Source organism: Homo sapiens, chromosome 11, assembly GCF_000001405.40.
Source record: "Homo sapiens chromosome 11, GRCh38.p14 Primary Assembly".
NCBI lineage: Eukaryota > Metazoa > Chordata > Mammalia > Primates > Hominidae > Homo > Homo sapiens.
This window is the reverse complement of record NC_000011.10, coordinates 19,351,266-19,371,866: the sequence shown is the minus strand read 5'-3', so window position 1 is coordinate 19,371,866 and position 20,601 is coordinate 19,351,266. Positions and strand designations below refer to the sequence as shown.

General features: G+C 42.1%; 1 protein-coding gene across 11 annotated transcripts in view; it reads right to left on the bottom strand.

Annotated features, from left to right (window-relative positions):
- Positions 1 to 20,601, bottom strand: part of NAV2 (neuron navigator 2) — a 776,366-nt gene that overhangs the window by 749,735 nt on the left and 6,030 nt on the right. The window lies entirely within an intron of this gene.

The following is a 20,601-nucleotide window of genomic DNA, read 5'->3' as shown; positions in this document are numbered from 1 at the left end:
GGAGGAGGTTGCAGTAAGCCGAGATTGCACCACTGTACTCCAGCTCCAGCCTGAGCAACAGAGTGAGACTCCATCTCAAAAAAAAAAAAAAAAAAAAAACCTGATACAGAAAAAGGTAGGCATAGTTGCATAGTTGATTCCAAGATGCTGGCCTGGCAGAGCAGAATTAGGGAAGTCAAATTTTGGAGTTGGATGGCTTCCTCTTGAATCTTGACTTAATAACTATAAAATATGGCATAAGTTATTCTTAAGCTCCCTAGCCATCAGTTACTTCAGCTAGTACTACCTACATTCTTCTAGAATTATGGTAACAAACAAGTGAATGAAAAGCACACAGCACAATCCCTGGTAAGCACTCAGTAAGTACTCAATAAACGTTAACTACTTTCAGTCACCATAACAATATTTTCCAGTATTTGAAGGGTCTCGGGCAAGTTGCTTCCCTTTTTTGGGTTAGAGTTAACCTGTAAAATGAGGGAGGGTTAAACTAGAATCAGATGGAAACAGGAAGAACATGGTGATTCAGAATGCAGACTCTGGCCTCCAATGGTAAGGATTTGAGTGCTGGCTCCTCCACACTTATTCTCTCCAAACGGCATTGCCCCGTGGAAAAAAATCAAGATAATAAACAGTATCTACCTTCCAGAATTTTCCTGAAGATTAAATGAAATAATGCATGTAAAATTCTTAACATGGGGTCTGGCACAGAGTAAATTCTCAATAAAGCTTGGTTATTTTGGCTGTTTCACTTTTCTGCAATCCTTTTCCAGCGACAGCAATGATTACAGAGGCTAACCTGCTGCTGTGTGACATTAAGTCTCTTGCCATCTGAGACCCTAGCTTCTCTGTCTGAAAAATGGGAATTGGACTAAAAGGTCTTAAAAGAACCTCCATCTCTGACCTTCTACATATGAGGCTACAGGCAGCTCAGGAGCAAACAATCAAGAAAACGCCCTCTTCCCATGAAGCCATGGAATCGTCCCAAAATTCAGAATTGGAGAGCCCAGCTGGCTGCTGTTACACAAGGTTGGAAGCCATGTCTCCTGGTGCATGTCCCCTTAGCATTAGCTGTCAACAAAGCTGGCCCTCAAAGCAACTGCAAATGATGTATCTGTGCACGGTGGGGAGTCTGCAAGCACAGGCGCCATGTTATCCTCTGACTGTTACACAATCCAGGCTGGCCAGTCCTTCTCTGACTGAGCACATTCCTAGGCCATTTTAGGACACAAAGTATCACAGGAAAGGGAGGACTATTCTTCTTGCTTCCTCCTTTCCTAAATAAACATTCCATTCCATGTTGTAATTGTTCTCCACATGGTCTAAAATATTTAGCAGAAACATTTGAGGAGTGGGCAACCACGTGCCAAAAACTGTGCCATCTGAGGTCTTTGATGCTCAGAGTCTTCCACATCAGATGACACACTCTCACCTGCACAATAGCTGGACCTAGGTAATTAGAACAAGTCTCTGCTGTGGAATTTGAGAAAAACTTGCTGAACAAGTAGTACAATGCAGCTTCCTCTCTTCCCCCATCTCCCAAGACCGGCTCAATGTAAAGGCTTGTCCAGCAAGAAAGACTTAACCATTTCCTCATTAGACATTCTTTCACTCATTCAGGCCAAATTGGTATTTGATGCAACAGGGAAATATGTTGAGTACATTATTAATTGAGCTCAGCAAAGGAAAGGTCGCAGGGGTGACTGGCACAATTACAGGATGTGGGCAACAGGCCAATGAAAGAGCGTATCAGGGAGAAGGGGAAATCGATGGCTATGAAATTATGGAGGGTTATGAATAGTTGGAGGCAATTGAAAGGCTGATATTCTGCCCAAACCAAACACATGCAAGGCTTCTGTGTTCAACCATCTTCAACTGTTTATTATTAAGAGGAAAACTTCTTAGCTCCAAGGCAGCTAATACAGAGAAGTGAACCCAGAAGCCTGTACCAGGTCTTAGAGCCACTTGATTCAAAAGACTTGATTGGAAATTTATCAGACTGGTTAAAGCCCCAGCAAGAAAAGAGATGTCAAGGTGCCTACCAAAGGAAACTAGACTTGTTATCTTTCGATTTCCTGATGCACCGGCTCGATATTCACAACAACCTCAGGAGGACATGGGTTTGCAAGAGGCTTTTTCAGATAGAGTATGCTGGGGTAAGGAAATGGCCCCCAAACTGCCTTAACTGAGCATTGATTCTGTAGAATCAATGTGCATTTCATTCTACAATAAAATGTTAGTGAACCATATAGAAGATTCCCTAGGGCACCTAGCTCAAAGAAAATCTCTGAGGAAGTCACAAAAGTTTGCAAAGGATATTGCACTAAAAATGAACCACACAGCATTAAAACCCTCAGTCTCCATGAACAGGCCTGGTTAAAGATTTCTTTTTAAAAAGAAATCACATTAAGTGATAACTATGGAGAGAACTGCCTATTTTGTTTATCAAATACAGAGTAGACCAGGCAGAAATGAAGTTGTGGTCATTTTATAAAGGTTTTTAGATTATTAATCTGAATCATCAATAAAAGCTTTCATTAAGTTGCACCCTAGGAATTGATTTGCAATGGGTCGTTCCAATGTGCTATGCAAAGTTGCTGTAGAAAATTAGTCATCCTAGACTCCCTAAAGAATATAGACATGACATCCGGGCATCTGTTAAGTTTGCTCAAAAACATATGCGAGCCTCTTTTTAAAGAACCATAATTACATCCTGCTGAAACCTCCAAGGACCCTGCTAACTGCCTTTGTATTACAACATCCATTTCCCACTTAGGAAGCTCGGCTCTGCTATTTAGATGTGCGTTACAATCTGCTTGCTTCTCCAGCACACTTTCTCAGCTAGAGTCTGTAAATAGTCAAGTCATTCCATGCTCAAAGAAGACCAAACTTGGAGAAAGAAAGAGTTATGGTGTGTGTCTGTATACTTTGTTAAAATATAACCAGGAATTTGGAGCTAAATGGACTTGAACGTTAATCTGAGCCATGTCTCCTTTTCAGATGGCACCACTGAAGACCTGAGAAAGAGGTAGCTTGTCCAAAGTTGCACAGCTAAAATCTGAAAAATTTATCTGAAAAATATGATTAAAAGCTTACTTAGGCTTTGAAGTCAGACAACAAATACATGCTCTATCACTTATTTGCTGTGTGACTTTGACTTTTAACTTCCCTTAGCTTCAGGTCCTTTAGTTATAAAATATAAACCGTAACAGTTCCTGATATATAATAAGTACCCAGTGAACATTAGCTGTTAGTGTTCTTTTTATTTTCACAAATATGACCTCATCTAATCCTCATAACAACATTATAAGGGATAAAGGGCTGGGATTACTAGCCTCATCATACAGATGAGAAAACTGAGGCTCACAGTAGTGAAATGGCTCTTCCAAGGCCACACACACCTCAGGTCCAGTTTCTTCTTATACAGTCCTGCTGCAGTAGATGGGAAGAAGCTTGGCCCCTTTAACATTCCATCAGTTTTCCTCACTTCACCTAGAGATGAACAGGGAGGCCAGCAGGAAACTTGCTTGTTTGTTTCTACCCAAAAGCAAACTTAATGTAGCCACTATTCTAAGGACTTCAAATCCTGTAGGACCTCTTGGTCTGGCTGGCTGGCTGTTCCTTGCCTCGGGAGAGGAAAAAATAGCAGTTGTGGCTCTGAACCTGCTACTGGACATTGAGGGTGCATGAATATGAAGCAGAAAGAGTGGGAGAGACATATTATTTCAAATTATTTCAGATTATTTCAGGATTCTACTGCATATTTTAAAGCTAACATCAGAGTACTTGTTGATGCTCCATCAGCCTGCCCTTCTGATCCCCAAATCTGGCCTTTGGGAAAATCTAATTGCCTATTCTGAATGACACGGGAGCCATGTGAGTGATAAAGTTGTAGACAGTCAGTTTGTGATTATGTGTCCTAATGGAAGGAGGAATGCATTGAATGAATGTGTGAGTGAATGAATGAATGCACATAAGAGTTATTTATTCCAGCTCTGGGGTATAATATAATGATGTCTCCATTAATGCATCTTCTGGGAACTCAGTCCTTGTGAGGATGTCAGCCAAGGATAGAGCCATAAGAAAGCTGCAAGAGCTGTCTTAAATACAAACCCTAAATATTGGGCTTCTCTGGACCTGACTTAGGAGGCATTCTAGTCCTTAGGGCCCACAAGGATGGACATACAACTCAAGCAAGGAATAGCTGCACTCTGGGCCACTGGCAAGGAGACCATCCCAGTGAGAGGCAGAGATGACTCCAAGAGCAGATGGGTGGGAGGATCTAGAGAGCCAGTGGGAGCTCTCTTGAAAACCCCACCACCATGAGCACTTTATACTCTTGGTATTTGCTTATTCACTTATTCATTGTTTGGATGAATAGTTCTTGGAGTACCTACAATGTCCCAGACATAAAACCAGAAATATGAAGATGAGTAAGACTTGGCTTGAATTCTTGAAAAGCTCATTTTCAAGTAGGGGAAACAGACAGGGAAACAGCTTTCCTCAAAACAATGTGAGAAGTGCCACTGTAGAAGTCAGCTCAAGGGGCCTTGGAAGTCAGAGGAAAGGCTCCCAACCCAGTGGGTAAGTGGGAGGCAGAGAAGGTTTCTCAGAAGAGGCAACTCCAATCTGAATCTTAAAGGTGGACAAATAGGTCAGCACAATCACTGTGACGGTTGTTCTTGGCAGAGGGAACCGTGAATCAAATGCTCAGAGGCTGTGAGAACATTGAGAGGCCAGGACATTACAAATGGTGCCACATGACCCAGATTGAGAGCCTGGTGCTGGTTCTCCCACCCTTGTCATGACAATTCTGGGCCTCAGTGTACTTGTCTGCATAATGATGACTCTGGATTAATGACCCAAATACCAAAGAGAATTCATCAGACTTAAGAAAAACTGCTCTCAACAGTCACTAAACAAAAAATGAAGAGCTGACACATCATTAGAATATCATAGCATCTCCTAAACTGCAGCTAGTATACTCTAGCTAGTTACCTATTTAATACTTGAGAGTGGGAGGACGGGGAAGGGACAGCAAGTGGCTGCCATGTGTCCAGATCTCACTATGCACATTCTCAGTGTTTTCTCAGGGTCTCTCAGACAGCCTTGGTGCTCTCTCCTAAACAGAAAAAAAATTCCCTGAAAAGTGCTATTCTCCTCATTTTACAGATGAGGGAACTGAGGCTCACGGAGAGGTGATTTGCATATGGTTCCACTGTAAGAGTTGGATCCAGGATTTTATCTGGGGTCTGTTTAATTCCAGACCCAGCTCTTCCCAGAATCACTCTCTGCCTCTGATCCACCACTGACAGCTCTGGCAGATCCATCCTAGGGATCTGAAGCCTTTCTTCAACTCATCCAGCCACATGCTTCCTCACCCAGGGGCTCCTGGTACCCTTCATCTGCAAACTAGCATCCCAAGGAAAGCTACAGAAAGACAACCCAGCTAGAAGAAGCAAGCAGGAAGCAGGAAGAGCAGCCCTGGCTCTCCTACAGGTGAGAAGAAGCCATCCACACCCTCCTGCCATCCATCCAGAGCTCCAGGCCTAGCAGGGCTCCACAGAGGGGCACAGTCTTTGGGTGCAGCTACTGCCTCTTCTCTCTGGCTAGCATGGGGCTCTTAGGAGCCAGGAGCCACCCTGACATCATGCTTACTGGTAACCTGACCCCTAATGACTGCTCACTCCTCACCCCAGCTGGGCCCATCATGCTGGCTCAGGGGAGAGGTCACCCCTCCAGGGGAAGGGGCCAGGTGGGGCTCTTTTTAGTGGCTGCTGAAATGAGAGATAATTTGGGTTACTGACATCTCCCACAAGAATTCCCCATTCTCAGAGCTGTTTCTAATCCTTCCTCTCTGGCTCCTTCAATAATCAGGCCTACTTTCACTTCTTACTAAAAGGGCAAAGGTGGCTCTCCCTTTGGGCTTTCACTCATTCAGCGAGTTGACAAAGACCAGGAGTTTTCAAAGCACAAGGCTTTGTCCAGATGCTTATTGTTCTAAGAAGATAAACACTTATGAACAAACTATTTAATCACTGACTCATGCACTCTATAAAATGGGTCTAAGTATCAGCAAAACACTAAGTGTATTTAAACCCAATTCTAATAAAGCAGACAGAAGGGAAAACATAAAATATAAAGCCTCTTTAAATACACTGAGTATTTATGCTATGACTCTGAAGGGTAGAAAACAAATCTGAGACTCAATCTCCACCCTCTAGCATCTTAGAGTCTAATTGGGAACAAAATTATTGTAATTACCACTATTACTGCTTCTGGTCAGCACTTACTGAATATTTCCTGTCTAGTAGATACTTGCTAAGTGCTTGTATTTTCTCATTTGATCCTCATACCAAGCCCAGGTTATAACAGCTGTTGATTTCCCCATTTAACAAAGAAGGAAGCTGAGGAACACCGAGGTGAAGTGACTTTCTGAAGGTCACTGAACCAGGACTTTCATCATTTTGACCACAGTGCATGCTGTTAAGCCACAGGTGATTCAGTGAAATGATGTATCGGGTAGGAAAACAGGGAGAGAGCTGAAAGGAGTGAGAGAAGAAAGAATAAGAGGAAAGTGATAGAGAAGGTTTCAAATGGATAGAAATGTGAGATGAATCTTGAATAGTGACTAGGGGTAGATGGTTGGAGAAAACTGGAAAGAATGAGGTGAAGGTAGACAGATTTCATTTCTGTTTCCACTAGGAAAGCCAGTCTTACTGAGATTTGCCCAAACATAAGCTATTGTCTTCTCTGAACTCTATCATCCATATCTGTGAAACTTGGGCTCTAAGCATATCTGGAAAAGAACCTCAGATGGGATCATTTGTCGCTCATTCTTTCCAAAAGGAGGTGAATTTCTTTCCCTCAAAAGAAAGCTCAGATTAATAAAATTTTTCCCAGAGATCTTCCTACAGAAGGTGAACGAACGAAAACCGAAATATTGTTGTATGGGTAAACCTAGCTTTGCATAGTAAACAAATCTGTGAAAAATAACAAGAGTTGACAGTTTTTTGTAAAGTTCTCTAACTAAAAGAATTCCATGATGACATCTTCTGTAAAGCAAATCCCTATTTTATACAGTGGAAAACAGACCCTTAACTCCTTAGATTTGGAGAACTGGATGTTCATGTGTGAATGTGGCTGTTGTACTGCTACCGTGGCATCTGTCTGCTCCAGGTCACTGTATCCCTCTTGCAGTCCTGTGCTCCAATAGTGATGACCCACTGTGTTCAGGGGCTCTAAGCAGACACTGCAGGGGCTCTGGGTAGACATTTCAGGGGACACAAATATGCCAGAACAGGCTAGCAGGAGCTAAAGACCCATTCACATATGACTAGGATCAAAATTGGAAGACAGAGACAGAGGGGGTGACACTGGCTGCTTTCAGAACACCAAGCAAGGATCAGTTGGTTCAAGAGAAAGTCTGGCCACATGTTTGGGAAATAAATAAGTAAGCATCCCTCTGTCAGGAAGGAGAGCTTCCTTTCCTGGGGTGGTAGCAATGGCAGAGCAGATAAGAGAACCAGCTACGGCTTCTGTGATACTGTGATATAATAAGAAATATATATGTAGTTCTCATCACTGATTCCTGGCACACAGCTTCTGAAACCCTTGGAATTTCCTGAGTGATAGGAGTGAAAGGAGCACCTTTTGTTATTCATAACAAGCATTTTTCAAGCATACCTCCGTTTATGTTAAGGAGGTGACTCTTTGGTGGACTTCTGGAAAGGTTCAGGATGGGGGCTGGCTGCCAGAGGATCCAACTATGTGATTAGGGTTGGAACTTTCAGCCCCACCCTCTGGGGAGGGGAGAGGGGCTGGAGATTGAGTTAATCATGCCTGTGTTGTGAAACTTCCATAAAAATCCATAAACCATGAGATTCAGAGAGCTTCCAGGTTGAAGAACACAGGGAAGTGCTGGGCGGGTGGAGGCCCTAGAGAGGCCTGGAAGCTCAATGCCCCTTCCCACACACCTTGCCTTGTGCATCTCTTCCATTTGCCATTTTCCAAGTTATTTCCTGTATAAACCGGTAATAAGCAAACTGTTTTCTTGAGTTCTGTGAGCTATTCTAGCAAATCATCAAACCTGAAGAGAAGGTCTTGGGAACTTTCAGTGAGAGGTACAGGTGGTCTAGACATGCAATTGGCATCTGAAATTGGGGCGGTCTTGTGGGTCTGAGCCCTTAACCTGTGGGCTCTGATGCTAATTCCAGCCAGATAGCATCAGAATTGAATTGAATTGTAGGACACGCAGTCAGAGAATTGGTTGGTGTAGGAAAAGAACAACCCACATTTGGTATCAGAAGTATTCCGTGGATAGAAATGAATCACAATAGCAGAGCTTCAGACATACTTGGGTTTGAATTTCAGTTTCATCACGTATTAGCTGGGGGATATCAGGGAAAACTATTCAACCTAAGTTTTCTCACCTGTAAAATGAGGATGATGATAATAATACCTTTGGAACCAACCCAAATGTTTATCAATAATAGACTGGATAAAGAAAATGTGGCACATGTACACCATGGAATACTATGCAGCCATAAAAAAGGATGAGTTCATGTCCTTTGCAGGGACATGGATGAAGCTGGAAACCATCATTCTCAGCAACCTAACACAGGAACAGAAAGCCACACAACACATGTTCTCACTCACAAGTGGGAGTTGAACAATAAGAACACATGGACATAGGGAGGGGAACATCACACACCAGGGCCTGTCGTGGGGTGGGGGGCTAGGGGAGGGATAACATTAGGAGAAATGCCTCATGTAGGTGATGGGTTGATGGGACCAGCAAACCAGCATGGCACGTGTATACCTATGTAACAAAACTGCACATTCTGCACATGTACCCCAGAATTTAAAGTATAATTTTAAAAAACCCTTCATCATCAGATTGTTGTAAAGACAATAGAACAGTGTCTGATATACAAAACGTGTTCAAACATTAATTGTTGAATGACTGGATGATCAAATGAATGAATTGATAAACAAATAACAACTAATACTGACATAGTACTTAGTAGGTGTCAGGCATGTTTCTAAATGTTATTAACATGTTTAATTCTCAAAATGGCTCTAAATGATAATAATACTATTATTACCCTATGTTATAGATGAAGAAACTGAGGCACAGAGAAGACAACTAAGTTTCTCAGAGTCACATGTCCAAGAAATGGTAGATTTGAATTGCAAACCCAGGTAACTACAGAACCTGTGTTCTTCTCACTATGATGATGGCAGATGGCAAGTGTCCAATAATTAAAGATGTTATCTATTGTTACTATATTATTATTTATGCTACAGAGCAGTGCTTTCCAAACAGGTCTGTGTACTCCTGGTGGTATACAACATTATTTTAGGTGGTACATTGACGAACTTTTAAAAAAGTTAATGATCGTGGTTTTATTTCAATGGGTATTAGAAAAATAAGTAGCTCATCAAAACCCAAGATCTCATTGATATTACCCTTGTGACAAAGCTCAATTTAAAAAAAATGAGTCAATTTAAAGACACATAAGGTGGTAATAATATGGTAGAAATTAGATCAGTGGAATGTTAATGTCTAATAATGGTATGTGATGGAAAATGGCACAGGCTTTGGAGTCACATAGAGCTGGCTTCGAGACCTGGTCTACTACTTCTAGCTGTTGGACTTATAAGAAAGTTACCTAACTTCTCTGAGTCTTTACTTTCCCATCTGTAAAGTGGGAACAATAGTACTCTCTTGTGTGTGCTGTTCAAGTGAAGTTAAAGTGACAGTGTATACCTGCACCTGCATTACAGGGCCTCACCAATTGCTAGTCCATCTCCCTCTCCAGCTCATCCTCCTCCCCATCCAGAGCCACTGTCCTCACTCACCTCCTCTCCATCCCCTCTACCTTATCCCCCTAATCTAGCTGAAATCCATGATATTTGGGCATCATTATGGGAGCCTAGGGATTCTCCTCTTAACCCAGCTCCAGCAGGTGAATTCCTTCCACCACCTCACTTGTGTTGACAAGATTTGGAGACTCTATAGGAATCCAAATGGGAAGATACTCCAGGGACACAAGCAGAAATTAGATTTTTTTTCAATTACCGTAGGCAAAGGGCTTCGTGATGTTCTACTAATGCAAATGCTTATTTGCCGTTTCTCTCTTTGCTGTCCTATGGCAGGCCCTGCCAGTGATTGACGGCCACCAGAAAAGAGAGCTCACACATCCCACACTCACGTTTTCAAGCTGTATTGATCTCAGATGGCAGAGGAAGCTGGCTCCCTGGGCTTCATGTAGTGACCTCAGGACTGTGGATGGCATCCAGGGAGGAAGACACTTTAGAGCCCGGAACTTTGGCCTACCTTCTGTGCAGAAGGATCCCCCCATCCCCAAAAGCAACCTAGATACCAAATGCCCACAAAAGGCTAGATAGACCAAGAAGTCAATGAATCTCACACCAGTCCAGGAGCAAACTGATACCCAAGGATAAGATGTGACACCCAGTCATGCCTGTCACTCGAGAGGTGACATGCTGGGATTGGAACCCAAGTCCACTGTAAAGTGTGACTTTTTCTCAGATTTCTATGGACAAGAAATGGTAGTCCCAAAGTAGACCCACTAAAACCTCAATAACAAAATGCTTAGCAGAGGCTGAGAGACATAAAAAAGAGCTCACTTTTAGTCAGCACCAACAAAATACACCAGGTGTTGTGCGAAGTACTTTACTCATTTTATCTAACCTAATACAACCCTACAAGGCAGAAACTATTGCCATCCTCATTTTATAGTATCTAAGCCAGTTTAGCGAGGTTACAAAATTTTCCCAAGATTTCTGGACTTTTTCCCAGGACTTTCTGAGGCCAGGATTGAAACTCAGATCACTCCAGTTGTCACAGTTTTTTCCACCTCATCATTATGCTTCCTGTTTTCCATTGTCAAGAACTCCATCTTCTCTGGTATATTCCATCTGCCAGTTTGTGGGACCTAAGTAGACATTTATTTAAGTATCCACTTGATGCCTGTTTGCTCCATTGGACTGAGCTTTGCGAGGACAGGGGCAGTTCAGTGGGAAAGACAAACATTCAAGAGATGATTCCATCACTCCCCTGACCATCTACCACAAAGAGTGCCTCCTGCTCTCCAGCCTTCTTCTTCCTCCCCTTTCTACCAGGTTTTTCCCAATAGATTAGAGATGTCAATCACTGCCTGTCCACTCATGCCTTCTTCTGGAGCGATCCACCCTCAAAAGCTAGGTTTTATACCATGTGACGCTGTCCCTACCCTAGTGATAATTGACTGGCCCAGGGACAGACAAAGAACTTGGGTGGCTGATCTATCTCTATGGACTTGCTTTGTTTACATAAATATATATTTCTGACACTTGTTAAAACAGTCGGAGAGACTTTATGTGAGACTATTGCAATAAAAGCAAAAATTTCAACAGGGGAGAGATTGGGCACAACTCCAAATATAGCAAAGACAGCTGAGGATTTATAGCCTATGGGCAGAGTGACAGGGGATCAGTGGGTGGAAAATTACCAAGAGGACATGTCAAGGATAGGGGCTTCTTGCTAAACTGACCTAACAGGATGCTTGCTACAGACAGGTCAAGGACACATACATCAAAGGTGGGGAATGAGGAATTTGATCAGGTCTCAAGGGTGGGAAGATTGTGCTAATAATTGACTTAGCACAGTTCTTGCTAAGACCAGGCTGGCAGGCCAAAGACAGGATGGGGGCCAAGGCTGAGATTTGGCTGAAGAGACAGCTCAAAGGAGCCTAAATGAAGTTTAGTCAAGGAAAGAGTCTTTGTCAGTTTCTAGGCACAACAAGATGGGATAAGCCAATTAGATCAATTCATGACTCTGAACTAAGAAACCCAGAGGGAAGTTCTCAGTAGACAGTGATATTAAAAGAGACGAGTAGTGATGGTGGGTGGGGGCAATGAGGATCAGCCTTGAAGGGAAGAGGGAAGAGAAAGAAACCATGAGAAGCAGTGGAGGAAGAGTATTGGGAAGGAGAGAAAGGACCTGCTGAACCAAGACAGGCAGAGAAGTGACCCGACAGCCAAGGAGACACGCATGGCAGCATCTTGAGCCCCTGATTTCCTGAAGCCTGGCTGACACTCAAAGGAACAACCTTAATTAGCGTCTCCTTGCTCAAAGCTGTTTCTCTTGAATGCATTCTATTTTTTGGAAAGAATAACAGCATTCCACCTTCTCTTCTGGGTAAGCATTTCTAAATGACTGGTGACGTCATTTGTTTCTATTTCAGAACATTCCATGGGCTTCAACAGGACACTGACTCTGCCCTCAGAAATTGAGACTCCTCATTACTTGCTCTCACAATTTGCCCCATTGTGCTGCAACATGTAAGGGCATATTTTGCACTGATTTATTCAGTACATCCCCTTTTGGGTACATCTGAGCCACAGTTCTTGCCTCTTATCTTACCTATAAATGATCAGCCAACACAGACATCAATGAAATGACCTTCCAGGTCACCTGTCACCATGGACCCGTGGAAATTCAAAGGGAAAAGGCATGTCTCTACAGTGGGGGTGACAGGGATAATAGATTCACAATAATAAAACTGGGTCTTCACAGTTATGAATCCCCACACGCATAAAGACTCACAAATGCAGAACTTTTACCTCTAAGCAGTGCTACCAGACACTATTTCTCCCATCCCAAATCAAAGACAATTAAAATCTTCTCCTTTCTAAGAAACTACTGCTCTGTGCCACAAAGAATCTAACTCAGAGAGTCAAAGGAGAGTCCTATCTCTCCCTTTTACCCTCTCATTTGGAATGTCAACTGTCACTCATTCATTCAACAAATATTTCCTGATCATCTACTGTATGCCGAACACTGTAATATGTGTTCTGAATACAGAAACAAACATGAAACTGAATGGCTAGTGAAAAAGAGAGACTTTCAGCAAACAATTAAATATAGATTTACACATGTGAGGTGCAAAGTGTATCTAAGAACAATTATTTATCCTACTTTTTAGCTTCTCATGATGATTTTCTCACATCATTAAGGATTTTTACTTATTGCATTTTTAAATTATAACAGTGGAAACAAGGAGAAATATTTTAACTTAAATTTAGACTCACACACCTCTGTGTAAGAGGTGGGAAGAGGGGGTCTGAAGGAACCTTACTCACCTAAGAAGCAGACAAAAACCTGGATTCTGAACATAAAGGCACACTGTTCCCAGGTATGCAGATTGGTACCTCTATGATGGCTTCACAAGAGATGAAGGACATAGGATCTTGCTGTTTGTAACCAACATCCTGATTCTTGTCCCTCAAGTCTCACTGTGACCTCAGAGATTCAAGGGAGTGTAGGTGCTGGAAATGGATACAGCTTTGGGTAACTTTATCTTTACTTACTCAGCTTAAGGAAGAAATCCCCTGTACATCCAAGCCCAGTTCTTAACTTTCCTCTCTAACATATGCAGTTACATGGCTCTGGCTCATTCCCCAAATGACCTCCAATTCCCATGTCAGGAATCACCCTGACTTGGCTTCTTCAGCCACCTGTCCCAGTCCCATATTTGCCTCTGCTTCCTCCCCGCAAATGAACTCAGAATGCAGATGCAAGGCTGCAATGTTGTTCCTCATCTTTGGAAGAAGCTGCGTTGTAAAAAACATCTACTCCTGCTCTGCCATCCGCATCTCCTCTCATTTCTCTTCCCAGCCCCCACATCCCTCTCTTTCTAATTATACCAATGAGAAAGAAGATTAAAAATTAATGCCCTGAGGATGGGAGTCAGAGATGTCATTATTGTGATTCAAACCCCAGGCATGGAAGAATCTGATCCAAGCTTTAGGAGCAAAGTAGCCTAGGATGGGTTTTGGAAAACCTTGATTAATTGTAACCCACCTCTAGGTAACCAGGTTTTTTTTCCTGGTGCTGAGGTTATAGGGGATGCCACAGAGTGGATCAAATGAAATTCAATAAAAAATTTCAAGTAAAAATGCAACCTGTAAGGGCTGTCTTAGACACACTTACAAAGGTTTAACCTAATCCCTACATGCCAGGGTCCTGTATATTGTAATTTAACGTGTGGAAAGATGAAGTCGAAGTAGTTATTACAGGATTGCTACATAAAGGAAGATTTTGTTGTCTCCACTGACTGTACTTCTGAAACAGAAAAGTACACTTTCTTTTAGAAAGATGTGCATAACACAAGTTTAAACCAGAAGGAATTTTATGTGACCTTCAGTTAACCAAAAGGAAACTCAAATGCAGTAGCAGCAGCCACCCACCCCCATCCCCATTTTACTCCTCCAATAGGCCTCTTACAGGGATTTTTGCAAAATAATGCAAGGGAAACATATGATAAGAATTATAATAGATATCATTTAATACTTATGTGCTAAGTACTGTGTTAAATCTTCAAGTACATTATATCTCATAATCCTCACCAAAAGTTTTATTATTAGCATCCTAATTTTCATAATGAAAATGGAGAGGCTAGAAAGGTTAAATAAATTATCCCCTTAATAAAGCCTCAAAGTTATGTGATTAACAAATACCAAACAACCTAGGTGACATTGCTGCTCTTTCTCCCTCCAGTTTAAAACCATACTTCAGATAGTTTAAGAAAGGAATAAATAATGACACAGTACAGACCAATAGGATAAAATTAAGTCTAAAGAGATCAGGTAAGTAAAAGGGCTTTAACAAATGTGCCAATCCTGGATCTCTACACAGGATGCCAGTGGGAAGGCTGGCACTGCATACCACTTAGCATTAAATTTCATCCTTCTTTTGTGCTGAGGACTCAATGATTTGGTTTCTGGAAGCCAGGTTGGGATAGAGCTGCAAAGCCAAAGTAAATTCAGTTTACTTATGTTCAGAGCTATCCTTGTGCAATTTACATGAATCTGTCAAATAAATGGAGAATGGCCACCTATGAGGGTGCCTGAATCATTGTTCAACTTCTAGCGGCTTTAAGGACCAAAAATAACCCAACTTTTCCAGCATCATTAAAATCAGGTCCAGAAAAATGTCAAATTGTCTTCACTGTTGAAAATTAAGCCAAAATAAAAAATATCAGCATTCATTTCTGCTGATTGAAGAAGGCCGTTTTATTCCCTGGAAAACAATCCTAATACAGCCACAGTGGGGGTTAAGGTTTCATGAATGTTTGGGAAATGCAATTCAGTCCATAACAGCCAGCATCCATCCCAGCTGCAGCCCCCCAAAAGGCCACATGGTTCCCCTGTGAGCTGCTTATTTAGTTCTCTCTTCAGTGTGCCTTTCACTTGGCCCCTTATAGGCAGAGCTCACGTTCCCCCTCCTCCAGAGAAGTCCTCCCTGACCTCTCCAAACCAGAAGGATGCTTACCTAATAACACAGTCACTGCTGATTGAATTGCCTCCCCCAAGACACTGGAAGTGCCCAGAAACAGGAGACAATATCTAAGCTCATCATCATGATCCCAGTGCCTCATGCTGCGGCTGGCTGGCACACAGTAGGTACTCAACAAAGTAGGATGAATGAATAAATGAATGAATGAAGACTAATCATGCTATCTCACATTCTCTTCATTGAGATGAAGGCTGGGAATTGGTCTGACCCCTTTGCCATCCTCCCCCCTGACCCTATACCTGAGTCAGGTCTCAAAGCTTACTGAATGGAGTTGCATCTGGCTACAGTCTCTCTCCTTTCGTCTTCAGTGATATTTTAAATGTGCTGTGGTAGGTCCTCACTGTCCATCCTAAGCTCTTGCTTAACACTCCCTTCATTCATGTCAGGAAGACAGGTGGGCCCTACAGGCAGTGACCTGTCAGAAGGCAGATCAGTTGTAACTAACTGCTGCTACCTCCAGCTCCAAAGGAGCAGCAGCAAACACTGGCCCAGTCCAGGAAACAAGCATTTCAGCTCATCTGGGGAGCTGGGGCTGAAGCCTCATCCTCACCTAACATGTCAGTATCCATCAATCCAGACCCCTAACCACACCTTCAATGCCCCAGAGCTCATATCACTATGGCCAAGGAAAATCCCTCTAATGTAGCCCAGCCTCACTACTGGCCTGGGATTGACCTTGGGGAGGGTGGTGGCATGCAGCCCTGACTTGCTGAATGACATGGGCATTGTTCCCGGGTAAACAAAACATCTGTAAGATGTCATACAGTTACCATGCAGGACTGAAGAAAGAGAAATGGAAACAAGGGAGCCAGCCAGGAAACTATGTCACCATCCAGGCAAGAATTCCTGGACCTTAAACTAGGGTGGTAGCAGTGAGACTAGAAATTCCACTACTGATTGAAGAAGGTGGTGGGCCTGTGAGGTGGGAGAAGGTCAAACAATTCTGAGTTGCAAACCCAAGTGACGAGGAAATTGGGAATGCCATTAATAAAAATGAAGACAAGAGGTTGATGGGGCAAATATGATAGTATATTACCCTTTGAAGGGCAGGGCTTGGCAGATCCAGAGCAGTTCAGCCAACCCTAGAAATTTTAATTACACTAAACCCGAGTTCACACTCTCCAAAGACATTTTTAAAAACTGGCTCCAGGAAGCTTTCATGCTGAGAAGTTGACAGCTAGGAGAATATTCAAACTGAACCATCTTTGTCACTACTCAATCATCAAGCATCTTTAAAAAAAAAAAAAAAAACAACCAACAATTCTTATTTTACAATGTTCATCCGCTGTGGGAAACCTCTGTCTGTGAAGGACAAACTTCTAAAGAAGAGTAGAGAAAAATCAATCAAAAAGTCATTCCCTTGACTGATCAATAGGTGTCTGTCAGGAAAATTTTACTTCGCCAATCTATGCTAGTTAAGTAGGTTCTTAGAGCACTGAACAATACTTACCTCATTGAATTTCTCTATGCAGAAGCCCCCTGTCTCCCCGGCTTTTTCCTCACTTCAGCACAGAATTTGAATCTGACAAGAGTTAGGGATGCATAGAGAGCTACCATCTATATGTGGCACCCAGGTAAGTCTTCAAAGGAATAGGGAGGAGCTTTGAGAGCTCTGAATGATAACCTCTCCTGGCACAGGGGACAAGTGGGCACATTCACATCTGAGAGCTGCCTCCTGATCTTCCCACAGCCAGCCGCTAAGGTCTCTGCTCAGAAGACACCTCCTCAGGGAGACATCCCCTTATACCAGCTAAAGCTCATCCTCTTGGGGCAAGAGAAGAGGTCTAGATCTTAATACCTTATGCATCTGTGGCTGCATAGGTGTGTATGAGGTAGAAAAATTCATCTTCATTGATTTGTAAACTTTAAAAGCACACACTTTACTGAATCTAAGTTATGCATCAATTAAAAGGGAAATTCAAGAATAATCATAAATATGAAATGTATACCTCTCTCACTCACTACACCAACTTTGCCCTATTAATTTTCTTTAAGGCATAGGCCAGTGTCTGGAAATTGATGGTGTAGTTATTTGCCTGTTGTTGGCTCTTCAGAAAGGTACTGTCTACCACAGTGGCCCCTAGCCACATGCAGCTATTGAAGTTTAAACTAATTATAACTCAATAAAATTTAAAATTTGGCCACACTAGTAACATTTCAAGTGCTCCGTAGCCAGATATGGCTAGTGGCTACTGATTTGTACAGTGCACGAATAGAACATTTCCATCATTGCAGGAAGTTCTGTTGGAGAGCACTGATCTAAAACATAGGCTTCAAGAAAAAAGTGGCTTTGTATGTCTGGTTTATATTTAGCTCTTAGAAAGGTGCCTGGCACAAGGAGGCACTTCATAAATACTTCTTGAATAGATGAATACTGGAATTATGTAATATCAAAAAACAGAGCCCAAACCAAAAACCTGGAAACATCCTAAATATACATCTATAAGGGATTAATAATATAAATTTTGGCACTTCTACAGTGTAACTCTATCCAGTGACTAGAAGGCATGATTTGGGTGTGTATGTAAGGACTCAGACAGGCACCCACATTATTTTAAATGACAAAGCAAGCTTCCTAAAAATATGTATGGCATGAATCCATTTTATTAAGAAACACAAACCAAAAAAAGTCAAGAATAATATGTACAAAACTGTTAATAGCAGTCACTGCTGGATAGAATTAGAGAAATGAGAAATTTATATTCTGTATTCTTCTATAACATTCAGATTTGTGATGTGTATGTATGACTTGAGTATTTTTTTAAGGATTTAAAACAAAATCACATGCAGCCCTCTAAGAACAAAAGGAAAAAAAGAAAGCCCACATTGCAATCTATCCCAAGGATATGTGGAACATTTCTTAAATATTTACCAAGTGCCAAAGTCCTTCCCAGCTACATTCCATTTAATCTTAATAATATCCCTATAATAAAATCCCCATTGTCCTATGTTGAAAATGTAGACTCTAAAAATCAGAGAGGTTAAGGAGGTTTCCCAGGGTTGCACAGCTAACACACAGCACCATTGGCATTTGAACCCAGGTCTCTAGTTCTATATTCCATGACGCTTTTCACTGCAGAAGGTATATGCACGTACCCACAAACAGCCAGATCCTATTTGGCCCTAAACTAGCCATTTCATCCACATGAAACCCCCAGCAATCACCAAGCTACAACCAGGTGCATGAGAAGTGGCTTTTCCTCTTGGGACATTGGGAAATACAGCAAAATTGGATCTAGCTAGCCCTCTGCCTTGTCTCTTGACTTATCTCACAATTGTCTTTCGCTAAACATCTCTTACACACAGACAGAAATGCCAGGAGGATCTGGTGCCAATGAATGCTTGGTAACTTAAGCATGCTGGTGGAGACTTCCCAGCTCTCCAGCAGATGCCTCGATTGTGCCTTTGTTGGATTTTCAGCCAATCCCCCCTGAAGAGGAGTTTTCAGTTCACCCGAGGTATATGAGCCAAAACACTGTAGAGTCGCCTTTCAGCTTCGTGGACAAGACATTCCAGGCTGCACGCTGAGAGGCTTGTTTAGCTTCACACTTGACGCAAATGGGGTGTATGTTTACCCACAAACACACACATGCACACACCAACAGAAGCTGCTGCCGCCAACAGAAGCTACTGCAGTGGCGGTATTTCTAGAAGCCCAGAAACTGTACTCTGGGCAATGTGGAACTCGATCACAATGCCTATCAGGAAAAACAATCTAATTCTTTCTACACAAAGTTTCAACCACAGCCCAGAAAATTCAGTAGAAGATGAAATGTAATACTCTGTTAAGCCTTATTTTGCCAGCACAAGTGAGAGCTCACCCAAGCATGGAGACTCATTAAAATGGATCTTACATATATCATTATAAATTTAATAATCGCCATGACGGCTAGAGTTCAAGTTAAAATGAATGTCAGCTGAGCATGACCAATTGATGTTACCCCAGCTGCCGCAGAGCCTCACTTGGGGTTATATTCTACTTCCAGAGGCTCCATAGTACATGTGGACCCAACACAGCCAGAGCCAAGAACAGATGGGAAATGCAGACATCTACACCTAGCCAAAAAGAAGCCATCATAATTGCATATTATCTTGCTGTACCAGCCCAATTAAAATTGTCTACAGTGTCAGAGGTCCCAAATGTTCCTCCACTAAGTGTCTGGATACCAAACTTGGCTAATACTTAGTCAAATGCAATCAATCCTGGGTTCTGTTCACAACTATTATTGATTTTTCTCCTATCTCTCTGAAAGCTTCCGTAGAAATAGGAGTAGACAGGTCTAGTAGGTTATACACTTAATAAATCAAACACCACAAAACAAATCCCACTTATCTAGGTTCCCAAGATAGTGGGCATTCTTCCCAAATTATAGCGACAGCAGTTTCAGAAATTGAATTTTTTGTTAGGAATGGAGTCAATATTTATAAAATGTTTATTTTTGATTATTTTTATCCTTGGAAAGTCAGAGAAAATGCAATACAAAATCCTTTTTCATACACACACACACACACACACACACACACACTCACAGAGAGAGCCACATAAAATCATAGGGAAGAGTCAGAAGGACAGTTTTCATCTCCATGTGTATTTCACACTGGGAAGAGTCAATCTTTGAGACTCAGGAGGAGAGGGATACCCACACCACTCTGAAAGAACATCAGAAGTCTTTTTTTTTTTTTTTTTTTTTTTTTTTTTTACCATACACAACATTTCAAAGGAAATGTCAGAAATTATTTTCAGTTCAACAAAAATTTGGACTCTGCTAGAGATTTATTTAACCCTTGCCACGCCCCGTTCTTAGCTATGCCCCAAGAGTGAGAAGATGTAGCTTCAACTTTCTTCCTAGACAACCAACCACCCTATGCTACTCCACAACGCGTCTGCCTTTTAAAGACAAGTTGAACTTTAACTGGTAGACACAGGTCCTGGGTGACTGCAGCTTTCAGACCAATGACAGCAAATGACCTACACTCAACAGGCCATTTTAAATGGCTGTGACATTCTCACAGATAGGGCCAAAGAGTGCAGTAGAATATGTTTTTGATCCATAAACACAAGAGCCAGACAACCACACAGAGAATAATTCAAACAAAACCTCCGCTGTCAGGAGCAACATTTCCAGAAGGTGCTAAGAGTGTGTGAATCCCGAAGGGGGCTTCAGTACAAAGAAACTCATATTGGATTTTGAGAACACCAACATTTTTTGTTAACTCCCTCAGTTAACGCTTATAAA